Source organism: Homo sapiens, chromosome 4, assembly GCF_000001405.40.
Source record: "Homo sapiens chromosome 4, GRCh38.p14 Primary Assembly".
NCBI lineage: Eukaryota > Metazoa > Chordata > Mammalia > Primates > Hominidae > Homo > Homo sapiens.
Window position 1 is genome coordinate 27,101,271 of NC_000004.12, and position 13,393 is coordinate 27,114,663.

The 13,393-nt window shown below is 43.0% G+C and overlaps 1 annotated feature.

Moving 5' to 3' along the window:
* Positions 272-772: an enhancer, noted in NCBI's record as "H3K27ac hESC enhancer chr4:27103164-27103664 (GRCh37/hg19 assembly coordinates)". NCBI's record gives its function as "activates a minimal SCP1, AML or CMV promoter by ChIP-STARR-seq in primed H9 embryonic stem cells {active_cell/tissue: H9 hESC(primed)}" and the evidence as "EXISTENCE:reporter gene assay evidence [ECO:0000049][PMID:30033119]".

The window sequence follows — 13,393 nt, forward strand, 5'->3', positions numbered from 1 at the left end:
ATGCAAGTCTGACTCGCCCTTACATCAGTAGCAGCGGCTGATGGGTGAGGAAACGAGCACGTTTTCTCTTAGGGAAACAGTGTTTTAATGTGGCTCCAGTAGGCACTGTCCAGAACTCTCTTTTCCCACCCAGGCTGGCGTGTTCTCCACCAGAGCACTTAGGAGACGTGCTGAGATGTTAAGTACTGAGGGGTGAGGGATGTTTTTGTTGCTGTGCTCGGCAAAGCCGACTGCTTTTTACAAACACATTAAACATTAATATCTACAGAATGGGCAGTTTTATAGTGCACAAGCAAGAGTTTCTTGGACACGGATTTATTTATTTTTTATTAATGTAACCTTAGTATGCCGCATATTTCTTGCAGAGCTCCAGATCTCAAAGGCCTTCGCTGGACCCAGTGAATACTTTATGATTCCATTTAAGACCAAGGGAACCAATAAACTCACCCCAATTTACATTTCAGTGGAGTCTCATAAGTAATGCATGCCTGCATACTGCTGGCCCTCAACTGTCTCCCGGACTGCCTTTAATACCTCATCACACGCGTGACCTTTTCAGGAGGCTGAGAACAGAGGAGTGTTCTCTTCAAACTGTTTTCTTTTTCTTGCCTCAACACGTGAAACCTCTGTCTGTGGCCATGAATAGATAATCCTAAGGAGCTGGTGGCTGGGAGGTCTTGTGCCCTCTTCCCTCTCTCGCCCTTCCTGAGCCCCTCAGGCCCATGGTTTCAGACACCACCTCTAAGCCCTGCCTTTGAGAAGCGTACCTGCAGCCCTGAGCCAGCAGGCCAGCTCTAGGCCTGAATTCCCACTGCTTTTATTCTAGAGGGTTGTACAGTTTTTGTTTCAAAACTAATTTTTCTCTAACAGAATCCCTAAGCCACTCCCCAGGATGATTTCTTGGTTTCTGTCTCATGGCGACTGTGCTCCATCAGTGGGCATGGGAAGCTCAGGGCTGTCCTGCACAGTGCCTCTTCGACTCATCCTTCCCCACTCCTGGACCTGGGAGCTGCTCACACTTGGCAATCCTTCCAGCATACCTCCTCCCCGGCAGCCAGTGCTGTCTTTAAATGGAGTGAAGTGGATCATACTACTCCCCTGCCCAGAATCTTCCAGTGGTTCCCAATCCTCTAACTTCTGCCCAGGTTTCCAGTCTATTGGCCTGACCTGTGAATTTCAGACTTGCCAGCTCCCACAATTGTATGTGCCAACTCCTTAAAATATAACTCTTTATATCTACATATACATGCACACACACATGCATACACATATGCCTGCATATACATATACATATGTATATAGGCTTATATATGTACTGTACATGTGTATCTACATAGATCTGTGCATATATGTATGTGTGTATCATATCTATCAATCTATCAGTCTATCTGTCTATCTATTTATCTATCTAATTTCCTATTGGTTCTGTTTTTCTGGAGAATCCTGACTGATATGGAATTTGGAGTCCCCTTTACTAACCATCTGGTATACATACCATTCTCTCACATTGTTGTCTGTGACATCTACAAATTATTTAGCACGCCTCCTATAAAAAGGTGGAATCCAATTTTCCACTTCTTGAATATGGACTGGCTTTAGTGACTCACCTCTAGGAAGAGAATGCAATGGAAGTGGTGCTGGAGGACCCCTGAGTCTAGATTAGAAGATGCAAGGTAGTGCCAGCCTGCCACTCATGCCCCCTTTCTGTCCCTGTCTCTCATCTATCTTAGGATGTTTGCGCTTGGGATTTACCCACCATATTGTGAGGAAGCCTATACTACATGGAGAGGCCATGTGATGTTCCAGCCAACAGTACCGTGTCAGATGCCAGCTGCCAGCCAGCATCAACTCCAGACAGGTGAGAGAAAAAGGCTCCAGATGGTTCCAGCCTCTAACCTCAGAGCTGCTCCAGAGATGCTGAGTAGAGCTGAGATGGGCTGTCCCCACTCAGCCCCGCCCAACCTGCAGAATCGAGACAAAAAACAAAGGATGATGATTATTAAAACCCACTCTTTGGTGGTTGATATTTATATAATAATAGATAGCAGGAACATTCTCTCTCCTTTTATACTGCTAGCTTTTTAAAAAATTTTCATATCACTATTTGGAATTATGCATCAGCTTGTTTATTATCTGTCTTTTCCATTAAATATAAGTTCCACGAGGGAAGAAATTTTTTCTATCCTATCTATTATTTTACCCTAGTGCCTATAAGAGCACTTGGCACATCGAAGGCACCCAGTAAATATTTCTCAATGAGTAATCCTCCTGAATCTACTGAATTATACTTTCTTATTTTCTTTCTTCCCTGTCTTCCTTTCTTCCTGCTCTACCTCAATCTTTCTTTTTCTTTCAACTTCCTTTAGTTCTTTCTTTCTTATTATTTCCCTTGCTTGTTCCTTCAAAAAATTTTAATACTTTTTAATCACTTAAGTTTCACATAAATACATTTTTATTGTAAATAATTAAAATACTTCAGGTAAAATCAAATCCTTCTTGGCCAGGTGTGGTGGCTCACGCCTGTGATCCCAGCACTTTGGGAGGCCGAGGCAGGCAGATCACCTGAGGTCTGGAATTTGAGACTAGGCTGGCTAACATGGTGAAACCCTGTTTCTACTAAAAATACAAAAAATTAGCTGGGCGTGGTGGTGCACACCTGTAATCCCAGGTACTCAGGAGGCTGAGGCAAGAGAATTGCTTGAACTGGGGAGTCAGAGGTTGCAGTGAGCCAAGATCATGCCTTGCACTCCAGCTTGGGCAACAAGAGTGAAACTCCGTCTCAAAAAAAAAAAAATCAAATCCTTCTTTACTCACAATGCACCCCCAAGCCTGGCCCTCCTTTCCCTTCACCTCATTTCTTCCTCACTTTGCCTCCGTGGTCCAGATTGATCTGGAAGAGATGAGTCCCTTCTGACCTCACTACCACTACTGCAGCCTCCTAGCCTACCCCTCTGCTGCTGGAGCCTCCTTCTTCTGACACTTCCTTCATCTTGCCAGATTAATTGTCCCCAACCTCTACTTTGAGGGAAACATGCCCCTAAAACTCTCCAAGGCTCTCTATTACCTAGAGATCAGGGTGCAAACTCTATAACCTGGAGTTCAGACTTCCATGATCTATCTGAGCTGTTTCTAGGCTTTCGGTTCTTCTCCTCTTCCTTTGTGAATCATCGGTTCTAGCTACAAGGGTTTCCCCCCACCTCAGGGCGGCTCTGGTTTTCCCATGGCTACCTTTTTGCAGAGACTTGAAGAGTAGAGTCTGCATGTTTTCAACACTTTGCCAATTTAATCCACCTTTTCAGATGCTATCTGTTTGCCAAGTCCTCTGGGGATGGTCCCTGCCTCTTCTTGGAAGAGACCTCTCTTCTGTGGGCTTTAACTGCTCACTGCCTTCTCTCTGCTGTTGTCTTTTGTGGGTGCACCTTGGCTTTCTGTGTGTCCATTATCCTTCGTGGGAATTCAGGCTCGTTTGAGAATAAGGACCGTACTGTGTCTGTTTCATGTGCTTAGAGAGCAAGGACAATGAAGAGGCTTCTAGAAGGTTCTGCCATTGCTTCTATGGTTTCACACAGCTGCCCTAGAGAAAGCACATATTTGATGCCATCAGGGCTCATGTATTTGTTTCCTGGAAGTTGTCACAGTGGCCAGGTGGATCATAAGAGTTAGCAGATCAGTAGGTTTCTTCAATAAATTCAACAAATATTTATGGAGCACCTGCTATGTGGCAGGCACTGTACTTTGGAGAGGGCTAGGGATGGCATAGCGAACAAAGCAGACACCTAGCTCTTGTCCTCCTTGCATTTATAGTCTAGTAGGAGAGACAGGTAGATAACTTCCAAGTAAACCATCATAACTCAACATGGTCAAGGTGATGTTTGAGATGAGCCAGGAGACTCTGATCACATAAAAGGAACATGGACTTAGCTTTGGGGAGATAGGGAAAGCTTCCCTAGAAAAAGGATCCTTAAAGATGAGATCTGGGCAGGACGCAGTGGCTTGTGCCTCTAATCCCAGCACTTTGGGAGGCCGTGGTGAGTGGTTCACTTAAGATCAGGAGTTCGAGACCAGCCTGGCCAACACGGTGAAACCCCGTCTCTACTAGAAATACAAAAATTAGTCAGGCATGGTTGCACACACATGTAATCCCAGCTATTCAGGAAGTTGAGGCAAGAGAATTGCTTGAACCCAGAGTGCAGAGGTTGCAGTGAGCGGAGATCATGCTTCCAGCCTGGATGACAGAGCAAGACTCTGTCTCACAAAAAAAAAAAAAAAAAAGAAGAAGTTGAATCTCTAAATAGACCAATAACAGGCTCTGAAATTGAGGCAATAATTAATAGTCTACCAACCAAAAAAAGTCCAGGACCAGATGGATTCACAGCTGAATTCTACCAGACGTACAAAGAGGAGCTGATACCATTCCTTCTGAAATTATTCCAATAAATAGAAAAAGAGGGAGTCCTCCCTAACTCATTTTATGAGGCCAGCATCATCCTGATACCAAAGCCTGGCAGAGACACAACAAAAAAGAGAATTTTATACCAATATCCCTGATGAACATCGATGGAAAAATCCTCAATAAAATACTTGCAAACCGAATCCAGCAGCACATCAAAAACTTATCCACCATGACCAAGTTGGCTTCATCCCTGGGATGCAAGGCTGGTTCAACATATGCAAATCAATAAACGTAATCCATTCACATAAACAGAACCAAGACAAAAACCACATGACTATCTCAATAGATGCAGAAAAGGCCTTTGACAAAATTCAACAGCTCTTTATGCTAAAAACTCTAAATAAACTAGGTATTGATGGAATGTATCTCAAAATAATAAGAGCTATTTATGACAAACCCACAGCCAATATCATACTGAATGGGCAAAAACTGGAAGCATTCCCTTTGAAAAGTGGCATAATGTAGGGATGCCCTCTCTCACCACCCCTATTCAACATAGTGTTGGAAGGGCTGGCCAGGGCAATCAGGCAAGAGAAAGAAATAAAGGGTATTCAATTAGGAAAAGAGGAAGTCAAATTGTCCCTGTTTGCAGATGACATGATTGTATGTTTAGAAAACCCCATCTTGTCAGCCCAAAATCTCCTTAAGTTGATAAGCAACTTCAGCAAAGTTTCAGGATACAAATCAATGTGCAAAAATCACAAGCATTCCTGTACACCATTAACAGACAAACAGAGAGCCAAATCATGAGTGAACTCCCATTCACAATTGATTCAAAGATAATAAGATACCTAGGAATCCAACTTACAAGGGATGTGAAGGACCTCTTCAAGGAGAACTACAAACCACTGCTCAAGGAAATAAAAGAGGACACAAACAATGGAAGAACATTCCACGCTCATGGATAGGAAGAATCAATATCGTGAAAATGGCCATACTGCCCAAGGTAATTTATAGATTCAATGCCATCCCCATCAAGCTACCAATGACTTTCTTCACAGAATTGGAAAAAAACTACTTTAAAGTTCATATGGAACTAAAAAGAGCCCTCATTGCCAAGGCAATCCTAAGCAAAAAGAACAAAGCTGGAGGCATCACACTGCCTGACTTCAAACTATATTAGAAGGCTACAGTAACCAAAACAGCATGGTACTGGTACCAAAACAGAGATATAGACTAATGGAACAGAACAGAGGCCTCAGAAATAACACCACACATCTACAACCATTTGATCTTTGACAAACCTGACAAAAACAAGAAATGGGAAAAGGATTCCCTATTTAAGAAATGGTGCTGGGAAAACTGGCTAGCCATATGTGGAAAGCTGAAACTGGATCCCTTCCTTACACCTTATACAAAAATTAATTCAAGATGGATTAAAGACTTAAATGTTAGACCTAAAACCATAAAAACCCTAGAAGAAAACCTAGGCAATACCATTCAGGACATAGGCATGGGCAAGGAATTCATGTCTAAAACCAAAAAGCAATGGCAACAAAAGCCGAAATTGACAAATGGGATCTAATTAAACTAAAGAGGTTCTACACAGCAAAAGAAACTACCATCAGAGTGAGCAGGCAACCTACAGAATGGGAGGAAATTTTTGCAATCTACCCATCTGACAAAGGGCTAATATCCAGAATCTACAAAGAACTTATACAAATTTACAAGATAAAAGCAAACAACCCCATCAAAAGTGTGGAAAAGATATGAACAGACACTTCTCAAAAGAAGACATTTATGCAGCCAACAGACACATGAAAAAATGCTCATCATCACTGGCCATCAGAGAAATGCAAATCAAAACTACACCATCTCACACTAGTTAGAATGGCAGTCATTAAAAAGCCAGGAAACAGCAGATGCTGGAGAGGATGCGGAGAAATAGGAATGCTTTTACACTGTTGGTGGGAGTGTAAACTAGTTCAACCATTGTGGAAGACAGTGTGGAGATTCCTCAAAGATCTAGAACTAGAAATACCATTTGACCCAGTGATCCCATTACTGGGTATATACCCAAAGGATTATAAATCATGCTACTATAAAGACACATGCACACATATATTTATTGCGGCACTATTCACAATAGCAAAAACTTGGAACCAACCCAAATGTCCATCAGTGATAGACTGGATTAAGAAAATGTGGCACATGTACACAATGGAATACTACACAGCCATAAAAATGGATGAGTTCATATCCTTTGTTGGGACATGGATGAAGCTGGAAACCATCATTCTGAGCAAACTATCACAAGGACAGAAAATCAAACACTGCATGTTCTCACTCAGGTGGGAATTGAACAATGAGAACACTTGGACACAGGGCGGGGAGTATCACACACTGGGGCCTGTCGTGGGGTGGGGGCATTAGGAGAAATACCAAATGTAAATGACAAGTTAATGGGTGCAGCAAACCAACATGGCACATGCATACTTATGTAACAAAGCTGCACGTTGTGCACATGTACCCTAGAATTTAAAGTATATATATATATATATATATATATATATATATATATATATATATATATACATACAGAGAGAGAGAGAGAGACAGAGAGAGAGATCTGAAAGAGAAAGAAGAGTTTTCCAGACAACAGTGGGATAAACAGCAAACAGGGAGGCACAGCACAGTGGATTGGAGGAGAGAGGGAGAGAGAGAGAGAGAGAGGGAGAGAGAGAGATAATAGAGAAGAGGAGAGGGTCAAAGACCTCAGGTCATAACACCCAGCAAAGTAACAGGAAATTGGGACCTGTTTACAAGGACTAGACATAACAGATGGACTTGTTAGAACTTGGACTTGTTCCCTTACAGAACAGAAAGGACAGGCCAGCTGTCCTCACCTTGGACACTTGCAGTGTTGCCCTGCGTGGGCCCCAGCAGGTGCACAGTATGGCATGGCATGCAGATCATTTTCACATCTGTGCGTTGGGAACCTAAGCCAAGTGCTGCCTCCTTTGCCCATGCAGTCAGACTCTTCATGTGCCCCACTCAGACTTTGCCACAAAATCTATTCCCTTCTCAGGCTTCCTCAAGAAGTCCACCCTCCTGAGTGAATGAGGCTTGCTGATGTTTTGTAAAGGATGCAGGGAGTCATGGGGAGAGCTCACATAGTGGAGCCCAGGCACCTCACACCATTAGAGCCTTTTTTCTTCTGGGGCTTCCTTGGAAGTGCCAATGACTTGTTGTCTCCTCCCTCTGCTCCTCAACCTCTCCCTCCTCTCAGGAGGAAAGCAGCCCCACCTGCTCCTCTGATCCCAGCACCAGCTGACCCAAGCCCCTGCGTGCGTTGATCAAAGCACTTGCCTGACAAAACTGGGTCTCTCCCTGGGGGAAGGATTCTCATACCAGCTGCTAAAAGGAAGAAAAATAATATTGTTGCGGGGGAAGATAAAATAAGCCTGGGAACATTGGCAGCTGGAGCATCTTATCCGTATGGACCGAGGGTCTGCTCCAGCTGAGAGCCAGCAGAGGGGAGAGGCATCCTCACTTCTTCTGAACACCCTTGAGTGACTTCCCCTGGGGCTTTCAGTGGCACTTTTGTAGGTAGTGAGCTCCCCTGCAGGAAAGAGATGTTACTTTGAACTGGCATCATCGTCAGCCCTGGATTTTGTCTATTCTGCTCATTTCCCTTTCTTCTACTTCCAGTTTTTTAACCCTTGACATTCAACAAATACTTACTGAAGCCTTTCATGTGTTAGGAATAAAACTAGGCATTTACCAAGGAGAGAGAGATTTTCTGGATGGGTCGAGGGAACTCAAAGGGGCCTCATGCAGACTGTCCCCTTTCTCCTGGGAAAGTGCTTACGTCCCATCACCATGGTGACCACCAACACAGTCATGTCCATCTTGAACCCTCACTTTGAGCACCTGACCCAGGCTAGGTCAATGGATCTTCTCTCTGGGATTTTTGGTCTTAAGAGACATTGGTTAGTCCCCCTCCTGAAGTGGAGGCTGTATGATGTTACGCTCGAGTGCTTGGGGTGGGGGTGCGGAGGGCACGTCCCCTCTCCCCCAACCTCCAACGTGAGGATAAAAGCAGTGTGCATTGAAGAGGAATAAACCAACAGCGAAAGGAACAAAGAAGATTTAGGGGAAAAGTCCTGATGAGATTCAGTCTCCAGGCTTTTCCAGTTTTCATCAAGCTGGGCTGCATGCCTGCTCTTCCCCCGTATCTGCTTTCTCAATTTTTATTTGCAGTAAAGCCAATAAATTTCCATTTTTGCCAAAACTGGTTTGAATTGAGATTCTGTCACTTGCAACCAAACTAATACAAAGCATTCGTTAAAATGAGATACACAAGGTACTTTGAGTAAATGGGTTTCTCTGAAAATAAAGAAAAAGGCAAAAAGATGGATTATTCCAAATCATTACAACCTAGAGTATGTGAGAAGGCCTGTGAGTGCCTAGTAAAGTGTGTGATGCTTAACAGAGCCCCATCCATGTTAGTTTTCATCCTGTCCTCTCATCCCCTTATCTTCTCTTCCTGGAAATCTATTTCAAGTTAGATGCTGGAAAGCAAAAGGCATTTTAAAACAAGTTTTGTGTGTCCTTGTGTCCTTGTAGATTACTAATCTTCTAAGTGGTATGAAGTAGCCCGGGTGATCTAATGCTTCTCTGATGTCCTACTTTTTCGTGGGCTCAAGCTGCAAATGCACTTAACATATAGCCAAAATTATATTGGGAAAATCTGAGTCACGGAGGCATATAAATGGGGAGCTCTGTTACTGGAAAATCATGGCTTTTAAGAGAATAGATTTTCTATAGAACACTTGGGCACACCAGAAGATACACAGGGTCTTAGTCTGATTGCTCACATAATCAGAAACTGCTCGGCTTAATGTGCATAAACTTCACAGGTCACTGCTATGGTCTGAATGTTTGTGTCTCCCCAAAACTAATATGCTGAAACCCAAACCTCCAAATGGATGGTATTAGGAGGTGGAGCCTTTGGGAGGTGATTAGGTCATGAGGGTCCCACCCTCCTGAGTGGGATTCCCAGAGAGACCCTTGTCCCTTATACTATCTGAGGGTGCAGCCAGAAGGTGCCATCTATGAAGCAGAAGATGGTCTCTCACCAAACACTGAATCTCCTGGTAACCTGATCTTGGATTTTCAAGCCTCCAGAACTGTAAGAAACAACATTTTGTTGTTTATAAGCTACCCAGTTTATGGCATTTTGTTATTGAAAGTTTCTTGTATTGGTTCGAACCCCAAGAGCGCGCCAACAGACAACACGAGGCGGTGTGGAGCAACATGCTGTTTTAATGAGCGCCTGGGTGGAGGCGGGCTGAGGCCTAAAATGGTGTCAGCCCCAAGTGAGGACGGGGCAGGGGTTTCATAGTCTCCTGTAAACAGGAAGTGTCCTAGCCTGACATAACTGCTATGTGGTACCCAGATGGCCTGTTTCTCGATCTTCAAGGGTAGGTGTCTTCCAGCCAGGGTATATGTCTTCCAGCCGGCTCTCTTCCAGCTTCTGCTATCTTGCTGGTGCACGCTGCTGGTGCAAGTAGTTTTGCGCCTTGCGACTGGGCCTGAGAAGGGAGGAATTATTCATTCCCTTAAGCTTTCAGCCCCCAGGTAGAATCTTTCAGTTATAGCAGCCCAAATAGACCAAGGCAGTCACTTGGTCTTTGTCCAAAATGATTCTGTGAGTCGTTTCTAGAATATCTTTTAAATGCTTTTTTAAAAGCATTTAAGGCCACATCTTTTAAAATGCTTTGTTTCTATATGGTTTGCCATTTGTTGATGCCTGCCTTCTATTAACACAGCACGTTTTGAATAAGTCATTACACTGACCAAGGTTTGGCTTTGAACTAGATCTCTATCTTGCAAATAGTCGCTAAGTTGCAGACTTCACAATGCAACTGTTTACATTCGGAAAATAAAAATGTATAACAGAAGGGTTAATTGAGAAAAGAATCAAGACTACGTTGGAATGATAGAAGCTATCATACATACATATATATGCAGTATATAAAATATGTACTGCTTTATATATATAAAGAGAGAGTGATGCAGAGAGGGAGAGAAGTGTAGGCTTCTTCTAGGCTCTTGCTGCCAATTCTGAGTGACAACTGTCATCAGAAATTCAGGCCCTTTGATGTCTGCATTGAAATCCCACAAACTGTCATGGTTAAAGCTGTGCAGAAGTTCTAATTACTATGCATAGCTTGCACATAACATAAATAGTTGTAACCTTTCTGCCAAGTGCAAAGTCAGGAAATGTTAATCCATAGGGAAGCCATCCCTAGGCCACGGCTCCAACCTGATCGGTAATTCTTGTTCTTGTTCTCTGATTTAAAAAAAAAAAAAGTGATTCCTCTCTTTACACTAGCTGAGTCTCTATTATGCTGTGTGTACATTAGTAAAATTGATCTCCATAAGAGTTCTTCAAACTGAATTACTTAACAACATCGTTTAGGGCTGGTGCAGAGGGTCAGCAGGACCAGGACTTAAGGAAGTTGCTAACGTGGAGACTTATTAAGGCTTCTATACTTTGCAAAACATGCCTGGCCATCGCTTAGTAGAAGCCTGCTGCACTTTACACCTGACAAGCCCTCTGAGCATAGGCTCTTGGCAAAAATTGCATGAAGACTACTCATTTGGAGGTTATGTGAATTGTATGTATTAGTTTCAATTCACTCCTTTGGTTTCTCAAGGTAATGACACAATTCAGGCTGATTTTTGAGTGGAAAGCTCTTACCTTCCAATTCTGAAGTTTTTTAATTTTATTTTATAAAATTCATAATAGGGCAGGCAAAAAAAGAAAGAAAGAAGAAAAAGATGAAGCAAGTGAAGTCAGGTATTAACACAAACTTAAAAGCTGTTTTCATTTAGTCTTGGAGAGTGAGGCATTTGCCTAAATTTAAGACAGCACTAAAAAACACCAAGAATCAATATAAATAATATATTAACGCAATATTTAAAAAATCAAAATGAATGCAAAAATAATCTATAAGAAACAAAATATAATATTTTAAATAAAGATAGGATCAACCCCTGCACTCAGACAAGTCACCCTCCTCTACCCTTCCCTGCCCTGTCCATGGTGCCTACTTATCAGTGACTGCCACCCCAGCACCTAAGAGTGTCGTAGGTGATAAAGCAGGTCAAAGCTATCTTCTACTCTTCCTCGGTGGTGTTCCCACCTGTATCAGTCCATTTCCATATTGCTATAAAGAGCTGCCCAAGACTGGGTAGTTTATAAAGAAAGAGGCTAAATTGACTCACAGTTCAGCATGGCTGGGGAGGCCTCAAGAGACTTACAATCATGGCAGAAGGTGAAGGGGAAGCAAGGCACCTTCTTTACAAGCTGGCAGGGCAGGAAGGGAAGAACGCCTTATAAAACCAGCAGATCTCATGAGAACTCACTCATTATCACGAGACCAGCATGGGGGAAACCACTCCCATGATTCAACTACCTTCACCTCATCTCTTGATACGTGGGGATTATGGGGATTACAATTCAAGATGAGGTTTTGGTGGGGACACAAAGCCTAATCATATCACCACCTTTTGCTGTAATCATAATGTCTTTGTTCGTGGTTATATATTGTGGACTCATATTCCACTCCAGACACTACTGAGTTCTCTACACCACAAATTCATTTAATTCTAACAGGTGAGGTAGGCAATAGTGTCCATAGGTGCAGAATCTGAGGCTCAGAGAGGTTCAGTCACATGACCCTGGGCAAGTGAAGAGCTGGGGTTCCAATTCAGGACTGTCTGATTTCAAGACTGTGCCCTTCATCAGGGCACCATATTCCAATTCCAGAGTGAGCCAAGGTTCAATCACAGACAGAGGGAATCAGGAACACTGCAAAGAGCATCAAGGAATCTAAGCAGAATTCCCCATGATGCCCTTTTATTGACACACGATTGGTCTACACTTTGCTTGGACCTTTGCAGCAATGGGGAATTTCTTATTTTCTAGGACAGTTTCTCCATTTTGGGGCCGTTCATGCTTTTATGGAACCAAATCTGTCACTTCATCATGTCTACATATTGTTCCCATATTTCCCTTTTGGAATAACTCTTCCTTTGCTGGTAATATCTTTTCTTGCCATCATCTGTTGTTGAAATACCTAATTATTTCTTGAAACCCATATCAAATAACCCCATCTTTATATATCATTGTCGTATTCTCTAGATCAATTGTTATTCCTCCATCTGTGATCTGTTGGCATTTTATACTTGTTTATGTTCTTATTTTTACTACATTTTTTGGATGTAGTTATTTGTTGGCACATTTACCTCTCTGTGCAACTGTGGATTCCTCAAGGGTAGGAACTATGTCTTGTTTATGTTTGGGCCTCAAACACCAGCCCATTGTCCGGCTCACACTGAAAATGCTTTTGTGGAAGTCAGGAGAACTAGACAGATCAACTGGGAATTCTCCTTGCAAGAGTACCCTTCATATGCTGGGAATAGCCTGTGGCTCCTCTCCTGTTACAGAGGAAGGAAGATAGACTTTGGAGTCAACTAGACCCAGGTTTGAATCTAAGTCCTGCCTGTCCTACTTTCTAGATGAGTGACCATGGACACATTATGTTAATCTTTATTTTATTCCCTTCTCTTTTCTGCTTCCTTTTCTCCCCCACCACCCCGATTTTCTCATTTTCTCTCTTTCCACTTTTGCTTCTTAACTATTCACACGCAGCCTCTAGCGGGGCCATCACAGGGCCCAGCGTTTGCCCAGGGCCTGCGTACAGCTCTCCCAGTCCAACTCCAGGCTATTTCTAAAGCCTGAGGGTGACTCTGCAAAGAGAAAATTTTTTGATTATCAGGCACTGCTGCTTAATCTATCAGGGGCACCAATTGGCCCTGCAAAATCCCTCCCAGAGCACAGCATCGATCTTTGATTTTAATGATGTAAAGGGAAGAAAACAGATATCCTTCAATGGTGGGGGCCCCATTAGGGAGGTATCTTCACAG